This window comes from Homo sapiens, chromosome 3 (genome assembly GCF_000001405.40).
Source record: "Homo sapiens chromosome 3, GRCh38.p14 Primary Assembly".
Lineage (NCBI taxonomy): Eukaryota > Metazoa > Chordata > Mammalia > Primates > Hominidae > Homo > Homo sapiens.
The window spans coordinates 165,025,346-165,048,896 of record NC_000003.12 but is presented as its reverse complement, the minus strand read 5'-3'; the positions used below and the strand labels follow the sequence as shown (position 1 = coordinate 165,048,896).

Genomic DNA, 23,551 nt, shown 5'->3' with positions numbered 1-23,551 from the left:
ACATGTAACCCCAGCACATTGGGAGGCCGAGGCAGGCACAACACCTGAAGTCAGGAGTCTGAGACCAGCCTGGCCAACATGGCGAAACCCAGTCTCTATTAAAAGTACAAATCTAGCTGGGCGAGGTGGCAGGCACCTGTAATCCCAGTTACTTCGGAGGCTGAGGCAGAAGAATAGTTTGAACCCAGGAGGCAGAGGTTGCAGTGAGCCGAGATCATGCCACTGCACTCCAGCCTGGGTGACAGAGCTAGACTCAGTCTCCAAAAACAAACAAACAAAAAAGAATGACTCTCTCTCTCTCTCTCTCTCTCTATATATATATATATATACATATATATATGTATATATATATTTAACTAAGACTCTTTTTTGTAACTCCTAGATTTAAATTATCCTTCAAAATTTTACCATTTCTGAATATAACTGTGTTTTAAGCTTGCATCTCACAATTAGCCTGGGAAAATATTGCCCCAAGAACAGGTCTTTAACTATTTTTCAAAAAGAAGTATTTTAATTAAAATGTAGTTTTCTAATTAATATCCTTCTAACTAATTTTCTAATACATTTTTATAAAATATGATACAAAACAAAAGAAGAAAACAATCATATGTTCATTATCTACTAATTTTCAAGCATTGTTTATGGTCCTGTGATACAATAGTCAGTAAACCAAATACTATTCTCAATATACTTACGATTTTCTCATAATTAAACAGTTGTGATTGAGTGTTTATTCAAATTTGTATTTTTATGGTCTTAAATCATACTGATACCAGAACTCTTAACCACTGTATTCATGGTGTTACTTCAATTTACTTTGTAAACTCAATGGAGTATTACATGAAGCAGTGTTTAAGTTAATATATCCTAGGAAAGAAAAAACAGGCTATGTTTCAATATAATAAAGATTATAACATGGAAAAGCACTTGAGAATGTAGTTACACATTTCCTAATTGTTTCCAATTATGAAAATGTTATCAATAATAGTTAGGTAACGTGAGTGATGCTTGTAGTTGTGGACAGTGGTTAACTTCTAGAAAATAAAAAAAAAATCTTCTTAATTATGTAAGTTTTATCCCAACCTTGCCTGCTAATATTTGAAAATGTCGAAATAAATATATAATTGGAGTCATCACACTACAAAAAATGTATTAGGTTCAAGTTCAGGTATAATATTTTCTATTTATAAGGGAATTCAATTACTTTAAATATTATATTTCAAAACCAAATGTTGAGTGGATACCAAATGCCCATGTTTATGTAATTTGATAAAGGATGATTGGAGTCATTCAAAATTTAGTGATTTCTAAAAATTCCTTTTCACTGTATTTTACCAGAATATATTTAAATAAGTAAATATTAATAACAAAATACAAAATTGATATAAAATTTTGACATAATTATTATAAATATTATGGCATGGTGTATTAGCCCAGTTTCATGCCACTGATAAGACATACCTGAGACTGGGCAATTTACTAAAGAAGGAGGTTTATTGGATTTACAGTTCCACATGGCTGGGGGGGCCTCACAATCATGGCAGAAGACAAGGAGAAGCAAGTAACATCTTAGGTGGATGGCAGCAGGCAAAGAGAGAGCTTGTTCAGGGAAACTCCTATTTCTTTAAAACCGTCAGATCTCATGAGACTCATTAACTATCATAAGAACAGTGCAGGAAAGACCCACCCCCATAATTCAATCATCTCCCATCGGGTTTCTCTCACAACATCTGGGAATTGTGGAAGTTACAATTCAAGATGAGATTTGGGTGGGGACACAGCCAAACTATATCACATGGCTTTGGAATTATGAAATTTTAGAATTTAAATACCAACTTTATTTTTTAAAATAAATTGTATTTGTTAATTTGGTTTTATTTTTAGAGCTGTACAAAAAGTTTTTCCTAATAAGAGAAGCTTCATTCTTACCCGCTCAACATTTGCTGGATCTGGAAGACATGCTGCGCATTGGTTAGGAGACAATACTGCTTCATGGGAACAAATGGAATGGTCTATAACTGGAATGCTGGAGTTCAGTTTGTTTGGAATACCTTTGGTAAGACAGTTTCATAGAGTGTTACTCATAAAAGCTACAATTACATTAATTTTTAATGTAATCTTAATTAATTTTAGTAAAATGATCAAAAGGCATGTTACAGAAATAATTCAGTTTTTTATTTTTATGGAGTTTATGAGGAAAATAAGAATACAGATGGTATCTATAATTTCCAACCATTAAAGTGGGAATGTAGAACTAATAAAATTCAATGAAATCAAGATAATTGAGGAAAACAAATATAAATATAAACAGCATATAAAAGCTTATATGAAAGATGTAAAGAAAAAAATAAGATGGTGAAGAAAAGTTCAAATACATTGGTTATAAAAATAAATGTCAGAAGTCTAAGTCTACTTAAAATATTAGATTACCAGTTTAGATTTTAAAAGATAATCTTTTGTTTACAATATATATAAAACATAAGAACAGAAAAAAACGTTTAAAATTTCAAAAGTGGAGAAAATGTGTACTAGGAATTGTAGACATGAAATATCTGAGAAGTCTAACTCTATCAAACAAAAACATAGCATCCAATATTGATATTCAAGACTAAAGAGAGACACTACATAACAAAAATAATGTAGAAGGTATTATAAAACTATAGTGATTTGTTTTCTTTCATATGCACAAATAAAACAAACACCAAAAACCCGATCAATAAAAGTAACACCCCCACACACAATCTTGTGTTTGAAAATTGAAAAATAGGCTGGACAAGGTGGCTCACTCCTGTAATCCCAGCAATTTGAGAAGCCGAGGTAGGTGGATCACTTGAGGTCAGGAGTTTGAGACCAGCCTGGCCAACATGGTGAAACCCTGTCTCTACCAAAAATACCAAAAGACGGGCATGATGGCAGGCACCTGTAGTCCCAGCTACTTGGGAAGCTGAGGCAGGAGAATCGTTTGAACCTGGGAGGTGGAGGTTGCACAGAGCCAAGATTGGGACTCACTTTTTTGAGACCCTATCTCAAAAAAAAAAAAAAAAAAAATTGAAAAACATATTATCAAATTCATTCATGAGTCAAAAGATAAACTGAATAGAATTGAAAAAAAAAAACAACCTAAGAATTAACTGTTAACAATTTTACTTATTAAATCTTGGGAAATTTCAGCTGTTAATATTTAAAGAAAAACTTACTGATTTAAATACTTAAAAAGAAAGAAACGCTGAACAGTGAGTGAAGTGCATGAATTTAAAAAGTGGAAAAGGAGAAACAATAAACCTAAAGAAAGATGTAAGTAATTAAAATAAGAGAAAAAATTAATACAATGTAAACAAAATCTCTAGAGGAAAAATTTTAAAATACAAAGGTGGCTCTTCAAAACTTTTAATAAAATAGATCAATTTATAGCATATTTGTTAAAAAAAGAAGGAAAAACAAGCAATATTCAAATGTATTTTAGTATAAGGTGTCACTTATTATAGCAACCAATTAATAAACTGTAACCAACAGTCAATATTAAAACTAAATGTAGGACTTTTTGAGAAAATATAAGTGATAGCTAAGTAAATTAAAGATATACCCTGTTCAATAATAAGAAGGCTCAATATATTAGGAATAGGCATTCTCTACAAAATGTTATCAAAATTTTGTGGAATTCCAATTTAAACAATAAAAGGGATTTTGGGAAACATAAAAGGTGACTCTAAACTTCATATGGAAAACAATACATTTTAAAGAAGTAGAGAAAAAGAATGAGGATTAGTTCTAACCAGATAAAGCTGTAGTTATTAACACAATGATACTGGACTGTGGATATACAAATAGATTAACACAGCAAAATAAGACACAGGCCCATGCATGTATAATTTGTTAAATGACAGCAGTGAAGGGAAGTATCAACTATTTATATGGACTATTGACTCAGTATTTAGGAAACAATATAAAATGTGTCAATTTCTCACACCATGCACAATAAACAGTCCCAGATAGATTAAGGGACCTATGTGTGTAAAATAAACTTTATCCATTTCAGAAGAAAATATAAAATGGTAAATTTATGACATCAGGTTAGAGAAATAATTTCTTAAGCAGAATACAAGGAGAATAAATCTTAAGAGAAACATACATAAATTTGACTACAACAAAATGAAAACTTCTGTTCATCAAAAGAACATTTGAAAAGTTAAAAATTAAAAGCAACTCACCAGGAAATGTTATTTTCAATTCACATAGTCTATAAATGATATTCAATTTGAAGTGCCTACCTTAAATCTGTAAAAATTAAGAACAATAGAAAAATAAGTAAAAGATATAAACAGGCAATTCTATAGAAAGAGTAATCTATAGGGACCCAATAAAAATATGAAAAACTTCTCAATTTCCCTGTAATCAGAGAAATGCAAGTAAAAACTGTGGTGAGATATATTTTATGAAGAAAGGTGATAAAATTTGTCTGAAAATATCAAGAATTGGCAAGAAAATGAAGAAGGGGAATCTTCGTGTGCTATATAGTGCTTGCAAATGGTTACAAACAGTTCCGATTATACAATGCACATTATAAGTAAACCAGAAAAATAATCCTATGTATGTACACCATAGAATAAGAATATGTTTTTTACATATTCACAAGGATATCTATACAGGGTGAGTAACCCCTATCCAAAATGTGTGGGACCAGAAGAGTTTCAGATTTCAGGTATTTTCAGATATTTTAATATTTACATATATGTAATGAAATGACTTAAATGAGCAAATTTATGTTTCATATACACCTTATACACATAGTTTGAAGGTAATTTTATATAATTTTGTTCAGGAAACAGTTTTGACTGCAACCTGTCACTTGAGGTAAGGTATGGAACTTTCCACTTCTGGCATTATGTTGGCTCTCAAAATGTTTTGGATTTTGAAGTATTTCAGATTTTGGATTTTTGGATTAGGGATGCTCAGCCTATATATAAATTTCACGGAAGAATTTTTATAGTCATGAGTTCCCATATACTGGAGAACTAGAGTGACATTAATATAATTGAATTTCACACAAAAAGGAAATTACATTATAATGCATACAACATGTCATTTATACTGTTAAGAAAACATGCAAAACAATGCTATATATTGTTTATAGATACATATATACTTACACAGAAAAAATAAAGAAATGTTTGTAAATGGTAAACACTAAATTCAAGATAGTATTTTCTGGAGAGTCCTTGAATAAGGATAATGCAGTCTTACATGGGTACACATCGGGCAAAGCTCAATTTTATTCAGAATAATTAATTTCAAAGCTCAACATGAACACATGGTCACAGTTTGTTATTTTATTCCTACAGTTACATATTATATTATAAATAAGAAAAATCAAATCAAAGAAGTTGAGTTAGGGATTAAGAAGCAACCAACATATTTTAATACAGTAATTTCATCTTTTACAATGAATTAATGAGAACATCAAAATAAAAAATGAGTAAAATGTAAATACAAAAGGATAAGAAAATGCATAAAGGGACAATGAAGGAAAGAACATATAAAATAATGCAACTAGAGACAAGGATAGAGCAAAAATGGAAAATAAATTGGTTTAAGGAAGCATATATAAAAGGAGTAAAACAAATTGTATATAAGGCACATTCATCAGTTGAGGCATACAGTGTGATGCTCTAGGCAAATTTGAGAATCTTAACATTATAAATAGTAAATATATTTGTTATTTAGGTTGGAGCAGACATCTGTGGATTTGTGGCTGAAACCACAGAAGAACTTTGCAGAAGATGGATGCAACTTGGGGCATTTTATCCATTTTCCAGAAACCATAATTCTGACGGATATGAAGTAAGAGCCTCTTGTTCTCCATGTTGCGAAATAAAAAACAACCATAGTTTTTATTAATGTACTTAAATTAAATCTATAGAGTATATGGTCTGAAAGATTGTAGCATAATTCATAAGACATTGTTAGAAGTCCCTCTCTCAAGTCCTATACATATTTTGTATATTTTTACATTTTTTAAAAAACGGTCAAATAAGGAAATCATGAAATGCAATGTATTCACAGCACAAATATTTTAGTTGAGACTAACGCATAACTGTACAAGTATATTAAGTTACCGGTATTTTAAAGTAGAGCCAAAGCTTTTAGAGTATGAATTCTTGGATTCTAACAATGTAATTTCCAGGTAACTTTTATACAAAGAAAAGTTATAATATACTGTCATGGATTTTGAGTTTGTGTTTAGTTCATGTAAAACAAGAATTTAAAGATAGTCACAAAACAATTAGAGTCCAGCGTCTTTCAATAATAAATAGAACTGGCATAGAGACAAAAACAAAACTAACACTTTTAAAACACGGTTTTGGACTGGTAGGAGCAGAAGTGCCAGACAATACAAAGCTAGTCTACCAGCCGTGGGAACTCAGCATACTGTGGGCTCATGATCATAGGCATGTTTTTCGGAGAGAATAGTAAAATTCAGTTAAACCATTAAGTCAATTAAGTATCTGTTGGTTAAGAAACCGTTCAGTGTTCACACACTGGTTGCATACAGGGCTTATATTGTGTTTGAGAAGAGGGACAACTACTGAGCTCAGCCTGGAAGGAGGCATGATGGAAAAAAATTAAAAGGTACAAATTGGAGATTAGTTTCTTCCTAATACACCGAAATGATACTTTCAGAAAATGTGTGTCCATGGGAGATTTTGATAGAAATTACATGACACTCTGCGTTCACTTGTATTCTCCAAAATGCTGATGATAAGACAGAAATAAATTTTGAAATTTATTGGTGAAATAATGTGAATGACAAAGGGAGTGGGCATGAGAAAATGAGGAGAGCCTGCAGACCACCGTTCAGGTCTGAACTTGATGAAGATGAAGGGAAGGAAGGTGGTTTGGTAGGCAGAATCCCGAATTGCGCCTAGTTCTAACCAAGTTTCAATCAAGTGAGTGGGGAGTCCTTCAGGGAAAGTTGACCACTGACCTTTCTTGCATCTCCCAAGAATAGGCCTGCATGGTGTTCTTACTATGCTCATTCAAGGCTGGGAGCAGCACTGGGAAACATGGTTTTCAGTGCAAACTTAATAGTGGATTCAGGGAGACAGTAGTTGAGGTCTTCAGTTAATATTGTTATCCAAAGCAAGAGGTCTAAACAGGCTTGTCCATATCAGTGTTACTTGGCTGAAGGAGTCACTTATCTACCCTGAGCTCAGTAGAGAGGCTGCACTACAAATTGTAAGTCTACAGGCTGTCCAGGTAGCTCTGTTCACTGTGTTCCTGAGCCAGCAACCTATCTGTGATAATTCTAATAGCAATGGGATAAGACAGTAAGTCCTTAGGCAAGCCCATTTCAAGCCTCTGCTTTAGTGTGTCACATATAATAACATCCTATTGGCCAGAGTAGTTTGCATGACTGAGCGCCACATCGAAGCTTGGGTAGGCACCCTCCACCTTCACTGGTAGGGATTACAACATTCCATGATAAAGGCTGTGGGTACAAGGAAGCATGAAACATTGATTTACAAGATAAAAATTCTATTTTGTAAAAAAAAAATTTATTTTTTCTGTGGCAACGCTTTAAATATGTTGAAATGTCCACTTCAAAATTAAGTTTAATTAAAATATATAACAAAACCTAGAAATATTCATTCAGACACTTTGATGATGAAATAGGAATAATTTTAATTTCTCATAAACAAGCTGAAATTTATGTAGTTGCTTTAAAAAGCAGATTAAAATGCTTCTACTTTAATTTTCACTCATACTTTAGCTTTCTTATTTTAATTTCTCTTTCTATCTCACAGCATCAGGATCCTGCATTTTTTGGGCAGAATTCACTTTTGGTTAAATCATCAAGGCAGTATTTAACTATTCGCTACACCTTATTACCCTTCCTCTACACTCTGTTTTATAAAGCCCATGTGTTTGGAGAAACAGTAGCAAGACCAGTTCTTCATGAGTGAGTACTACGTACAATAATTATAATAATACCTTTTAAAGTATGTTCAAACATACACAGAAAAGTTTAATGGAGGTAAATCAAGATATCAATTAAACTTCTGCTGCTTGTTTTTACATTGGTGTAAATGATTTGAAGAGCTATATAATGATGCCAGTAAATATAATTAATTGGACAATATTTAGGTAGAAATGAGAGAATTAAATAGAACTTACAAGGAAAAGATATATAAAATATGTTAGGATATTATATCAGTAAAGAGATTAAGCATAGAATTTTTAAAAATACATCAACTAAATATTGAAAGTATAAACTAAATATAGATCAAGAGTAGAGTATAAAACTTACAAAAAAGGGAAATTGTGCTCATCTTTGCATGTATCTTTGACCAGAGCAGGGCCTTTCTGTGATGACTTAAAGATCCTTTTAAATTCAGGTAAAAACTAGAGCTTACCACAAAAAAGTTAAGTGAAGAAAGTAGAACATGAAAGATTTCCGATACTTTATGAACCTATCTTATAGGAGAAAATAATTTAACAGAAGAATTTTTGTATAAATAAAAAGTAACCTTGTCATCTGTGATAGATTTTTCTGAGTATGAGATAAACTTTCTCCTTCTCTCTTTTCTTCCTTCCTTCTTCCCTTCCCTACCCCTTTTCTACTTTCCTTCCCTCTGTTCCCATCCCTTCCTCCTATCCTCCCTCCCCTCCTTCTTTCCTTCATTTCTTCCTTTTCCTTTCTCCCTCTTCTACTCCCCCCTTCTTCCTTCTTCCCTTCCTCCCTTCCTTCCTGAGTGTCAGATGAACAATAAAGGATGTAAGAACCATGAATTGAAAATGTCATCTGAAACAAGCACAATTCAAGATAACAACAATTCCCAGGAAAAAACTGAAAAGATAAACTGAACCAGGAATTTGGATAAACTTATTTTTTCATTATTATACTTTAAACATTGTCATTGTTCTTAGGTTTTATGAGGATACGAACAGCTGGATTGAGGACACTGAGTTTTTGTGGGGCCCTGCATTACTTATTACTCCTGTTCTAAAACAGGTAGGCTCTACAGGTTTAATAACCTTATTGTTTGAACTTTGTATAACTAAATCGACCCTACATTACAAAACATCTGAATAATAGATGTTACTCAGTGGACTGTTTCAAGCTGATAAACATCAAGTTGGAATTCTACGATGTGACACAAATTTCAAAATGTTATAAAAATATTAAGTAGATTGCTTACCAAATATGTGATATCTAACTGGGGACAAGAAAATTGTATGAAGTTATTTTTCTCCTGAAAAAAAAAACTGTATTATCAAATCAAAATCAATTCATAATAACAAAGAGTTCTCATTTAAGTAGACATATACATTGAAATTTTGCTCAATTGTAAATAAAGAGGAACTGGAAAACTCGCTGATCAGATGAAAATGTTGGAGAAACACTGGAGTGGGTTGGTAATTATTACCTATTTTTAAAAGGTGCATGTGTCCATTGAGGTATACAGAAATAAACATATTCACATTCACAATGACCATGTGTTTTATAACAATACACATATATGCATGCATTATTTTAATTGCTATCTAAATTACTTTTTTATTTACCTCTTTGCTTTTTTAAGTTTTACAATATGATATTATCTAAAGCTAATAAAATAGCCCTTTGATTATTATCTATAGGAAATATTGGAGTGTAACAACATAAAGTTTTTTTCCCTTGACTATGAAAACCCAACTTAATATTTGATAAGATCCTCCTTGTTAAAAATTGAAATTAAAAAATACATATTATCTTTATTTTAGGGAGCAGATACTGTGAGTGCCTACATCCCTGATGCTATTTGGTATGATTATGAATCTGTAAGTAACCTTAACATACTAATGGACTCACAAGTATTATATTTTCAAACACTTCTACATAGAAACTTAATTCCATAGAAACTTAACTACATAGCATACATATTTTTAGAATTTCTGTCATTACTATAAAAAATAATAATTTCAGACTTTAAAAATGTGTTAAAATTTGTGTAAGTATACCCTTTGTTGCACATGAGCTAGACTCAAATATGAAGTTATATTATTTAGCATAAAGAGATATTATTTATTTTTAAATTTTGGAAATAAAAGGTTAGCAGTAATTTAGGAAGGAGTGGCAACTTATTTTAATGCTTTTTCCTATTTTACATATTTATCTTATTGCCAGAAGACTTGAGTACTGAGCTAGTCTTATATATTTGTTTTTATATGGTATATTCAAATATTTGAAAAAGGCTTTTATTTCAACCTTGAAGAGGCAAAATAACAGCACTCAAATACACCATCCATTTTTTCAATTGAACAAGACCTTTTGAGCAATATTTATTTATTTTTTTTTTTTGAATTTTTTTTTAGTAGAGATGGGGTTTCACCATGTTGGCCAGGATAGTCTCGATCTCCTGACCTTGTGATCCGCCCGCCATGGCCTCCCAAAGTGCTGGAATTACAGGGGTGAGCCACTGCGCCTGGCCTGCAATATTTATTTTAAATGATATTATTTTGCATATCACTTATATTGGCTAAGTATACCCTTTATTTTTACGGAAATAATGATTTTAAGAAAATCCTTCCTAAAGGCATAAACTTTAAACCAAAACAAAGAATAAAAAAGCTAATTAAAGTACTGTTAATTATTGTAGAAAGAAAATGAGTCTCTTTTTGTTGATTTTTTTATTTTTGAGAAAGTGAACTTATTTTTCCTCTACTTTGTTCAGCAAACTGAAAAAAAAAATTCTCCTAAAGTTAGAAAACAATATATTCGTATTCATTTGGATGACATGAATTGCTCATAATAAAAATGCCTTTTAATTCTTGTGAAATAGAGTTTAAAGTCTTCAATAATATTAAGAATGTTTTTAATCTTCCAATTATTAGGGTGCAAAAAGGCCATGGAGGAAACAACGGGTTGATATGTATCTTCCAGCAGACAAAATAGGATTACATCTTAGAGGAGGTTATATCATCCCCATTCAAGAACCAGATGTAACAACAACAGCAAGGTAAAATGAAAAATCATTAGTTGAAATCTAAAATAAAATTCAAATCTTAATATTTCATATTTGCATTAAGAATTAGAGATAATATTTAGTTTCTGCACCAGAAGATATTTGACATACAGAGGTAATACTGAACTATAACCATCATAGCTATAAAAAGAATGAAATTATTTATATTATTATAAATATCTTGATTTTCAAAATTTCTAATTTACTTAGAAGTTAACTTCCTGTATCAAAAATTTACCCACATTAGCATAATTAAAGATAATATTTGATTCTTAATAACTATACAAAATGTGAATATTTGTTATATAATTGAGTGAAGTATTTGTTAATTTTTACATATTTGAATTTCCATACATACATAAATCCCAATGTATTTCTTTCTGCTAAAATGCTTTAAGTTCATAAATGAACTGGATATTTTATGTTAGGTAAAGAGCGAGAGAGAAACTAAATTGCTCACTAAGTGTAAATCTCAGAAATATTTTCTAAAAATAAAAGAAACTTGAAAATGCTGGTGCTCCATTTCACATATTCATTCTGAGTACAAAGAGCACAGAAAGTGCCGTATTGAATTTACATACTTTTCCCTATTCTGCCACAACCCAACAGGAAGTTACTCTTTATTCCTTACCCTACTGTATTTTCTTCATAACATTAAGAATATCTGAAATTATATTATTTATTCTTTTCTTGTATGTAGTATGTTAGCGATACGCATTAGTAATTAGTAATTTAACTGTTTTGGCATTCTGGAATGGACTAGTATCACAATGTAACTGATACAAGAGTATGTTCTCAAAAAATTGTTATACACCAGAGCTGTAATGATCAACAGCAACAAACACTTTGGTAAATGCATACTGGAAGGAATACATCCTATACAGTCCAGGAGATGCCTGGTAAAATGTAACTAAAAAAAAAAACCATATTTCTTGACTACATCTCATTACTCCTGTTATAATCATTTCATTTATAAGATTCTTACAGATTCCACTAAACTTTTTTTAAATTTTAATCATATTTTTTTTTCTCATAAGATGTAGACTTAATACATTGAGATTTAGGATTACACAGGTTGAGTTGAGCCTTAATAAGACATTTAATTTTTCTTGTTTGAATTAAAATATTATATTATTTCAATTTTGCAAGTATCTCAGCCTTCAAAAAATCCATTATTGCATTTATTACATTTATTCTTTTGACTTATTTTCTACATGTATAAATTATTTCGGTATTCACATAAGAACATTGGTATCGGTAAATTATTAATACATATAAATACAAATTTATTGATGTCAATGTCCTTACTGAATTCAGGGCCCATAAAACAGACAGGTTGAAGTGGACTTGTTTATAGGATATTGTATTATTATGGATTTATTTTTAACCATATATGCACCTAATTTTTCTTAACAGCCGTAAGAATCCTCTAGGACTTATAGTCGCATTAGGTGAAAACAACACAGCCAAAGGAGACTTTTTCTGGGATGATGGAGAAACTAAAGGTAAGTCTGAAAGTAATACGCTTTAAATGTTCACTCTGATAATGGGAAGTTTTGGCTTTATTGATATAGGTTGTATCATTTTTTAAATATCACGAATTTTTATTTTTAATTCCTAATGTTTTTTATCTGTTTCAGGCTTTTAGGCTACTTTAAAACTTTTAACATTGTTATTTGCTTTATCTATATGTAACTAAAATATCCAGTTTTGTGCTTTTGTTTGTTGTAAGTCTTTGGCAAGATTTTTAATCTATCTTTATCTATTAGATTAAAATAGTCAATAAATTCTCAGATATACTAATTGCATTATATTTTCAACTGTTTTAAAGTAAGGTAGTGATTATAACTAAAATTTTGTTACTGTAAACAGAAAATAAAACCAACATTTAAAGATTTAGTTATTTAATGTCAAATTATTTGAGGTAAGAATATCATCGTATCAATTGTTTACAATTTATTTTCCTTATTATCTTTAATTGAATTTCTTGAGCTCCAAACTTGGGAATTCAGTATACCAAACAAAATGTTTAAAAGTAATCTTCTGCTATGGTATTTCTAATTATGCCATAGTAAGTTTGTCTATTTGTATTTAACTATTCACTTACAATTTTCCTTATACATTTTTAGAAACTTTTTAGAAAAATCTCGTTTCTTCTAATAGAGGGCTGTTAGGTATGTGTTTTATATATGAGTATAAAAATTATAATTTATCTTCTATTTTAATTAACTACTTCTCAGGTGTATTAAGGAATATCCTTGTACAAATTTTAAAGAGTTACAGATAAATATAGGAAGGACAACAAGAAGAAAAAGACTATCCTAAATGCCTTTAAATGTATATGAAACATGTGAATATTTATTTATTTTTGAAAATGTGTATATTTAAAAATTACCACAGGATTCTATAATTCTCTCCTAAGACTTACATTCACCCTCAGTTAACATTCATTTAAATAAATTACATTTATTTATGGCATTATTTCAATGTATTAGCAATCAAACTTATTCTAAGGAAAGATCTATTCTCTGGGTGATTTTCTCAATGCAAGCTATGAATTACTTGTATCATTAACAGCTATTAATTATAAATATTCTCTGTCTTTTAATTATTACTATTCTTTACCAGTAGTCCTTTCCTTGATAAATGTAGTCTTTTATACCATTTACCTGACTTTCAAATTTATATCTCCAAACCAGTCTTCTATGTACTTCTCTATTTGTTTGTCTAATAAAAATCTAAAACATAATCTGCCAAGATAGAACTTGGATCTTACCACCATGTATCTGCTCCATCTATCGTGTTCCCTTTGTCAGTTGATGGTAACTTCATTGCTACAGATGCCAACACCTTGGAATGGGCTATTATCTCTCACAACCTAAGGATTTCATTGGTTCTACTTTGATCTGAAGCCTCTCATCAGTTCCCCCACTGTCACCACCATCTTTCATGTTAATTTAGGGCAATAACTTCCTAACTGGCCTGTAGCTCTTTTTAACCCCTTTTAAAATTTTATTACAATCCAGCAGGTAGAGTAATCATTTTAAAAGGTGATTCCAGTAATTGCATCTCTTCTCAAAACCTTCTAATGATCCTCCATTTTACTCAGTTAGGAGACGGAGTTTTATCGAGACCTAGAGAGCTTATTATTTGTGCTTTAACATGTGCACACGTGCATGCACGCACACACATACACGCACCCACACACACACAAACACATTATCCTGTATTGCTTTCTATTTCTCATTCAATTTTAGCACACCAATCTTCTTGCTCTTTCTTAAATACCCTGGGGTGTAAGCACACTAGGGTGAGCTCTCCTGTGAGATTAGATTCCAAACCTATTCTCTGGCTTATGTAGTAAGCCAAAACTTAGTACATAGAAGTTTTGTAAAAGTGGATTTCAGCTGAACTTAACATTGCTTGTAGTCATCAATCAAACAATGTTGAGATAATACCTCCATTGATAGCATGTGTGGAGCAATTATAAGATTATTCCTATTACTCAAATTATATAAATACTCCAAATACATACTGTCTACTGATAAAGATGCATATGAATAGCTTACTTTCATATAAGTAAGTAGTTAAGAATATGAATAATATAATTCAATCAGTTATCTAATATGATACCTATGTAGCTATGTGCATTTAAAAAGTGAAAGAAAACCAGAATTCTGATTAATGGATTTGTAAGCAAACATGGAGACAGTAAAGTGATCTTCAGTTCAGGTTCTGAATATAATATTATTTCCTAGGACTAAAATTTTAAGCAAATTAATGTTATGGAAAGTATATTATATGAATCCTAGGATTCCCTTTATATTTTAACACTGTTTATGACAAACTATTTCAGTCCTTATCTTCAGTTTTTCTTTAAAGAGATACATTGAATAAAAGTTATATTACATATATGGTACAGAATCATTGTATTCATCCATTTTCCTCATTAAAGTTTATTTAAATTTCAGACTAAAGTTTATTTCAATCTTCAACATGTCTCCAGATTTATTGTTTTCCTTGAATAAAAAATAATAGAAAAAAATAAAAAGATGCAAAATGTATTATAATATGCCATGTCTTCCTAAGAAAAATGTACTGTTATGAGGTTTACAAGGGAGAGAATATCTTTCAAAATAATACATTTTTAATTATATATTATTTACTGTAAGTTTTGCTTTCTCTTAATTTCCAGAAATACCTTGGTAGTCTTTGAAAAAATAAGCAAGGCAAATATGTATTCATTACCTCTACTTGCTGTGAAAATGAAATACCATTATTATATAATTTAGAGACAATTAAAAAATTTAAAAACAAAATCTGTTTGGGATGCTTCATTAATAAACAGCATCTAGTTTGTTCAAATTTCTTAAGTGTTGTATAAGTGTAAAACCAGAGCAGAGAATTTAACATTGCATTTTGTACTGATCACGATATTTTTCATTTCAGATACAATACAAAATGGCAACTACATATTATATACATTTTCAGTTTCTAATGTAAGCACTCTCTTTGTACATATACTTAAATGCATAATTTGTTCATGCCTAGGTTATTCTTTTATGATAAATTTTTTGGAAAAGATGTTTACATTTGCCTACAGATTTTAATGGAATGTAATGAAATAAATTGTTCAATTAAATTGTTATATTTAAATTGTTAAATTATAAATAAATTGTTACCTTAAAATTTTATAAAGTTTGTGACCATGTAATTGATGGAAAGAAACCTTTAGACTTCTTGACATGTTATGATTGGTTTTAGGCAACATGCCCTAGGAAAACAATTTCAACATATCTGAAAATGTTTTAATGAATTAGTCACAGTAATAATTGGTGTGGATTTTGGTTTATTAAATTTTGAATAGTTAATAGAAATGATTTTTTCATAGATTTTGGGTTTTTTCATACATTCTTCTTTAGCAAAGCTAAATTATTCTTCATCAATGTTAGGACTAGAATGAGTATATATGTGTTGCATATGAGTAATTAAGGTTATCTCTGAAAATAAAATTTTCTGGCATATATATAAAAATGAAAATAGATATTAATGAGTATATTTCTATGTGCTACTTGGATGAGGAGAGCTGGTGGGAATAGAGATGTAGATGATGACCTTTTTTTGCTATTTCTTATCGGTATTGTTATTTCAGGTTTGTATCTGATGACCTAATATATAATATCTTATACTATTTTTCTCAGAACACATTAGATATTGTGTGCACACATTCATCATATCAGGAAGGAACTACCTTAGCATTTCAGACTGTAAAAATCCTTGGGTTGACAGACAGTGTTACAGAAGTTAGAGTGGCGGAAAATAATCAACCAATGAACGCTCATTCCAATTTCACTTATGATGCTTCTAACCAGGTAATTACAATCTTTTAAAATATTTTAGCTATCATATAATCTCATATTTAATATTATATAACCATTCAGGCACTTATCCTATTTCTCCTCACAGTGTGTATTCCTTTCTTCCCTTCGTTGCTTCCTTCTTCCCTTCATTTTTTTCTTCACTTTTTCTGAACAATATTCCAATTTATGTCAATCCAATTTGTATTTAGATATCAACATGAAGGGAATTCCTTGCTATTTCTCTCTATATATTTCATTTTCTCATGCATTCTAATTATATGGGACTTTCTAATATTTTCCATAAAAATTCTTCAAATCTGAACTCTAACCTACCTATTGCACGCAAAAGAAAATCCCAAATGTTTTAGCTGCTTTAGACTCTTTAACAAATTGGTTTTGTTCATTTCTTTAGTCTTTCTCCTGTTTCTTTTTTAGTGAGGTCTCATTGTCCTCAAAATATATCTTGTACTTTTCTAACTTTAATTTTGTGTTTACACTTTTCTTCTCCTGTAGAAAGCCTTCCTTATATTGTGATTTTTGTCTCTTTTTACAGTTGTAGTATAGAGGGGAAAAAATAACAAAATTGGATGCACTGTTATTGGATGCACAGATTATAACTCTGCTATCTCTGCTTCTAAACGCATTAAATCAATCTCTCATTATTTTAGCTTTCTCATTTGCAAAATGTAATATTTCAATCATAATGTTGCTTTGGGTAGTAGATTGATGTATTAAAAAAGAGACTGTAGTATTTAAAAACACGAAAGCAATTATTTTTGTCATTTATCTTTTCTCCATTTATATAATACTAAATTATTAGTAATATTACCATAAATAATTTCTAAATTATTTAAGATATAGAACATTGTCTTATAATATTTTTGTTTTAACTCATAAGACCTCTGGCCCAGGGCTTTTCAATTATTAGTTTTCAGAAAATATGTACTGGTCAATTATTTTTTATTTAATAGGCATATTATGATTTATATTTCCTAGCACTATAAGAATAAATTGATATAAATTAAGTAATACAAGCTTATTGTGAACTTTATGACTCTAATAGAGATTAAAAGAGGGAATAATAAAAAATAATTTTATTGGTTATGTATGCAATATAAAGGTCTATCTGTGGCTATTTGTATGTCCACTTTTATGCTTATAAATATATATATATTATATATATATAATCTTCATAATTCTGCTGTGTATACCTTCATAATTCTGCTGTGCATAGATTGATCTTTATATGAATTTTCATTCCTTAAAGTTTTGCAATTATGTTTGGTGGGTATCAAAAAGTAAGCTATGCAGATGAAAATCTAGGTGTGGGATAAATCTTGCTCACATTATTCCCAAGGCATATAAGCAATAATCAAACATAATTTTGAAATCCCAATTATAGACATAATTCTATGTGTGTGACATATGTACATATATGTATATATATACATAAATACACACATATATATTGCATATATATTTTCTGTTTTTCTAGTATTTTATCAAAACTATTAATGATTTAATTTGAAGAATTGCCCTCGTTGCCACATTTTGTGAAATGTAAAATGTTTTTTTAAATCATCCAATGATCAGATACAGTGTTTAATGTTTTTGTTTGTTTGTGTTTTTTTTTTCTTTTTTTCTTTTTTTTTTTTTGTCTTCAAAGGTTCTCCTAATTGCAGATCTCAAACTTAATCTTGGAAGAAACTTTAGTGTTCAATGGAATCAAATTTTCTCAGAAAATGAAAGATTTAATTGTTATCCAGATGCAGATTTGGCAACTGAACAAAAGTGCACACAACGTGGCTGTGTATGGAGAACGGTAATAATAATTTTAACTATTACTCATGATATGGTTATCACATAAGCATTTTGGTGCAAATTTTACATATTATAATTTTAAATCTGCAGCATATAAACTAAATTCAAGTAGATAATCATTTGGAATTTGAAGTTAGCATCTCTGACAGGCAATTCACTTTTATCTTAATTAATTATCCAAAGACATATCTTAGTAAACGCCAGGCTGAATTGATGTGTAAATTGCTTTCCAGGAACTTTGGATAATGTAACTTTACTTAAAAAAATAATACTCTGTCTGAGAGTTACACTCTACTTGGTGTTGACTGTAGCTGATTTGCTTGTTTGGGTAAGATATGCCAGTAGTGGACACTATTTTGAAAGAGTTGTCTCAAGTTATTAAGACATATGATGTTGAGTAACGGGCTACTTCTCTTCCACTAAGGATGATAATCTCTTGCCAGTTATTTTGGCTTTCATTTTAACAAAATGATGATGGCTGAGGATGGCAGGTGTTTTTACCAATGTCACAGGAAGGACATTGTAAAACATTCCTCTTGCTATGCCTGTTTTTCAAATTCTGGGCTTTTCATTACATCATTGAGTTTTGTCAACAAATATATTTATTTAATATAACCAAATAACTAAATGCATCTGTTATATCACTGAGGCGAGTCAAGACATATTTGTCAGCAATTTCCCAGAGACATTTACATTTGTATAAAGAGATGCATAGAATCTCTGCCTCCAGAGAAATTATCCCAATTTCTCTCCATTAATTGTTAAAGCAGCATAATCTGTATCACTAGTGAAGAATAGGGAAGAATATAAGAACAGAAAAAGTAAGGAGAAGAAAAGATTCTAAAATCAATAAAAGTCAAATAGTGAAGTTCACTTCTCTAAACCTTCTCTTAAGTTGCCTCTTTTCAGCCAAATACACATCCATTCCCCTTTGCATTCAAAGTATGCTAACTTTATCAAAACGAATATAAAGGACAGGTGGGAACAATTCATTTTGCTAAAGAATAAATATCTTCTAAACATGAAAATGTGAAATTTTATCTTTCCTATTAAATAATTTTAATGTTATATATATATATAAGGCTAATGTTACATATATATACATATATATGTATATATATACATATATATGTATATATATACACCACAGTTTTTTTATCCACTCATTGATTGGTGAACATTTGGTTTGGTTCCACATTTTTGCAATTGCAATTGTGCTGCTATAAACATGCACGTGCAAGTATCTTTTTTGTATAATTACTTCTTTTTCTCTGGGTAGATACCCAGTAGCAGGATTGCTGGATCAAATAGTAGTTCTTCTTTTAATTCTTTAAGGAATCTCCACACTGTTGTCCATAGTGGTTGTACTAGTTTACATTCCCACTATCAGTGTAGAAGTGTCCCCTTTTCACTGAATCCATGCCAACATCTATTTTTTTTTTATTTTTTGATTATGGCCATTCTTGAAGGAGTAAGGTGGTATTACATTGTTGTTTTAATTTGCATTTACCTGATCATTAGTGATGCTGATCATTTTTTCATATGTTTGTTGGCCATTTGTTCATCTTTTCTTTTGAGATTTGTCTATTCATGCCTTTAGTCCACTTTTTGAAGGGATTGTTTGTTTGTTTTTTCCTGCTAAATTATTTGAGTTTGTTGTAGATTCTGGATATTCGTTCTTTGTCAGATGTATAGATGGTGAAGATTTTCTCCCACTCTGTGGGTTGTCTGTTTACTCTGCTGACTGTTCCTTTTGCACTGCAAAAGATCTTAGTTTAATTAAGTCCCAGATGTTTGTCTTTGTTTTTATTGGATTTGCTTTTGTTTTTGGTCATCAAATCCTTGCCTGAGACAATTTCTAGAATGCTATCTTCTAGAATTTTTGTAGTTTCTGGTCTTAGATTTAAGTCCTTAATCCACCTTGAGTTGACTTTTGTGTAAGGTGAGAGATGAGAATCTAGTTTTATTCTCCTGCATGTGGCTTGCCAATAATCGTAGCACCATTTGTTGAATAGGATGTCCTTTCCTCACTTTATGTTTTTGTCTGCTTTATCGAAGATCAGGTGGCTCTAAGTATCAGGGTTTAATTCTGGGTTCTCTATTCTGTTCCATTGGTCTATGTGATTATTTTTATACAGTACCATGCTATTTTGGTGACTATGGCTTTATAGTATAGTTTGAAATTAAGTAATATGATGCCTCCAGATTTGTTCTTTTTGCTTATTCTCACTTTTGCTATGCATGGTCTTTTTTGGTTCCATATGAATTTTAGGATTGTTTTTTCCAGTTCGGTGAAGAATAATGATGGTGTTTTGATGAGGATTGCATTGAATCTGTATATTGTTTTGGCAGTATGGTCATTTTCACAATATTCTTTCTATCCATCCATGAGCATGGGATGTGTTTCCGTCTGTGTCATCTATAATTTCTTTCAGTAGTGTTTGTAGTTTTCCTTGTAGAGGTCTTTCACCTCCTTGGTTAGGTATACACCTAAGTATTTTAGTTTATTTTATTTTCTGCAGCTATTGTAAAAGAGGTTGAGTTTTTGATTTGATTCTCACCTTGGTTGTTTTTGGTTTATAAAAGAGCTACTGACTTCTGTACGTTAATTTTGTATCCAAAAACTTTGCTGAACTATTTTATCAGTTCTAGGAGCTTTTTGGAGGAGTCTTTAGGGTTTTCTAAGTAAACAATCATATCATCAGCAAAGAGCGACAGTTTGACTTCCCCTTTACTGATTTGGATGCCATTTTTTTCTTTCTCTTGTCTGATTGCTCTGGCTAGGACTTCCAGTACTATGTTGAAAATAAGTGAGAATGGCCATCTTTGTCTTGTTCCAGTTCTCAGAGAGAATGCTTTCAACTTTTCCCCATTCAGTATTACGTTGGCTGTGGGTTTGTCATAGACGGTTTTTATTATGTTGAAGTATGTCCCTTGTTTGCCGATTTTGCTGAATGCTGGATGTTTAAAATGTTTTTCTGTGTCTATTGAGATGATCCCGTGATTTTTGTTTTTAATTCTGTTTATGTGGTGTATCACAATTATTGACTTGCATATGTGAAACCATCCCCGTATCCCTAGTATGAAACCCACTTGGTCATGTTGGGCTATCTTTTTGATATGTTGTTGAATTTGGAATTTGGTTAGCCAGGATTTTGTTAAGGATTCTTGCATCTATGTTCCCAGGGATATTGGTCTGTAGTTTTCTTTTTTGGTTATGTCCTTTCCTGGTTTTGGTATTAGGGTGATACTGGCTTCATAGAACAATTTAGGGGGGATTCCCTCTTTCTCTTTCTTGTGGAATAACGTCAATAGATTGGTACCAATTATTCTTTGAATTTCTGGTAAAATTCTGCTATGAATCCATGTGGCCCTGGACATTTTTTTCTTGGTAATTTTTATTACCATTTTAATCTCACTTCTTGTTATTGATCTGCTGAGGTTATCTAATTCTTCCCGATTTAAGGTTGTGTCATTCCAGGAATTTATCCATCTCTTCTAGGTCATCTAATTTATGTGTGTAACGGTGTTCATAGTAGCCTTGAATGATCTTTTGTATTTCTGTGGTGTCAGTTGTAGTATCTCGCATTTCATTTCTAATTGAGCTTATTTGGACTTTCTCCTTTTCTTGATCAATCTTGCTAATGATCTATGAATTTTATTTATCTTTTCAAAGAACTAGATTTTTGTTTCAGTTGTCTTTTGTATTTTTTTGTTTCAATTTCATTTAGTTATGCTCCAATCTTGGTTATTTCCTTTCTTCTTCTGAGTTTTGGTTTGATTTGTTCTTGTTTCTCTAGTTCCTTGAAGTGTGACCTTAGATTGTCTATGTGTGCTCTTTCAGACTTTTTGGTGTAGGCATTTAGGGCTATGAACTTTCTTCTTAGTACTGCGTATGTTGTATCCCTGAGGTTTTGATAGGCTGTGTCACTATTGTCATTCAGTTAGAAGACTTTTTAAATTTTCAACTTGATTTTATTTTTGACCCAATGATCATTCAGGAGCATATTATTTAATTTGCATGTATTTGCATGGTTTTGAAGGTTCCTTTTGGAGTTGATTTCCAGTTTTATTTTACTGTGGTCTCAGAGAGTGCTTGATATAATTTCAAATTTCTTAAATTTATTGTGCCCTATCATACAGTCTATCTTGGAGAAAGTTCCATGTGCTGATGAATAGAATGTATCTTCTGTGGTTGTTGGGTAGAATGTTCTGTAAATATCTGTTAAGTCCATTTTTTCTGGGGTATGGTTTAAATCCATTGTTACTTTGTTGACTTTCCATCTTGATGATCTGTCTAGTACTATCAGTGGAGTATTGAAGTCCTCCACTATTACTGTGTTGCTGACTCTCTCAATTCTTAGGTCTATTAGTAATTGTTTTATAAATTTGGGACCTCCAGTGTTAGGTGCATATATATTTAGGATTGTGATATTTTCCTGTTGGACAAGGCCTTTTATCATTTTATAATGTCCATCTTTGCCTTTTTTAACTGCTGTTGCTTTAAAGTTTGTTTTGTCTGATATAAAAATAGCTACTTCTGGCTTTCAGTGTTCATTTGCATGGAATGTTTTTTTCTACCCCTTTATCTTGAGTTTGTGTGAGTCCTTATGTGTTAGGTGAGTCTCTTGGAGGCAGCAGATAGTTGGTTGGTGAATAGTTATCCATTCTGTAATTCTGTGTCCTTAAAGTGGAGCATTTAGGCCATTTACTTTCAATGTCAGTATTGAGATGTGAGGTACCATTCCATTCATTGTGCTATTTGTTTCCTGTATACCTTGTTTTTTTATTATGTTTTATAGGTCCTGTGAGATTTATGCTTTAAAGAGGTTCTGTTTTGATGTATTTCTAGGATTTGTTTCAAGATTTAGAGCTCCTTTTAGCAGTTTCTGTAGTACTGATTCTGGTAGTGGACAATTCTCTCAGCATTTGTTTGTCTGAAAAAGGTTATATCTTTCCTTCATTTATGAACCTTAGTTTTTCTGGATACAAAAGTCTTGGCTGATAATTGTTTTGTTTAAGGAGGCTGAAGACAGCGCCCCAATCCCTTCTAGCTTGTAGGGTTTCTGCTGAGAAATCTGCTGTTTTCTTTTATAGGTTAGCTAGTGCTTTTGCCTCACAGCTCTTAAGATTTTTTCCTTCATCTTAACTTTAGATAACCTGACAGCAATGTGTCTAGGCAATGACCTTTTTGCGATGAATATCCCAAGTGTTCTTTGAGCTCTCTTGTATTTGGATGTCTAGATCTCTAGCAAGGCCAGGGAAGTTTTCTTTGATTATTCCTTCAAATATGTTTTCCAAATTTTTAGATTTCCCTTCTTCCTCAGGAACACCAGCTATTCTTAGGTTTGGTCATTTAACATAATC

The 23,551-nt window shown here is 31.0% G+C and overlaps 1 protein-coding gene across 4 annotated transcripts in view; it reads left to right on the top strand.

Annotated features, from left to right (window-relative positions):
* Positions 1-23,551, top strand: part of SI (sucrase-isomaltase) — a 111,335-nt gene that overhangs the window by 41,336 nt on the left and 46,448 nt on the right. For all 4 annotated transcript variants that reach the window (XM_047448735.1, XM_047448736.1, NM_001041.4 and 1 more), the window contains 10 exons: positions 1,885-2,056; positions 5,722-5,838; positions 7,803-7,957; positions 8,926-9,010; positions 9,763-9,819; positions 10,873-10,997; positions 12,420-12,508; positions 15,453-15,502; positions 16,205-16,375; positions 18,030-18,185. In XM_047448735.1, the coding sequence (XP_047304691.1) occupies positions 1,885-2,056; positions 5,722-5,838; positions 7,803-7,957; positions 8,926-9,010; positions 9,763-9,819; positions 10,873-10,997; positions 12,420-12,508; positions 15,453-15,502; positions 16,205-16,375; positions 18,030-18,185 (1,177 nt within the window). The remainder of the gene's footprint in view (positions 1-1,884; positions 2,057-5,721; positions 5,839-7,802; positions 7,958-8,925; positions 9,011-9,762; positions 9,820-10,872; positions 10,998-12,419; positions 12,509-15,452; positions 15,503-16,204; positions 16,376-18,029; positions 18,186-23,551) is intronic.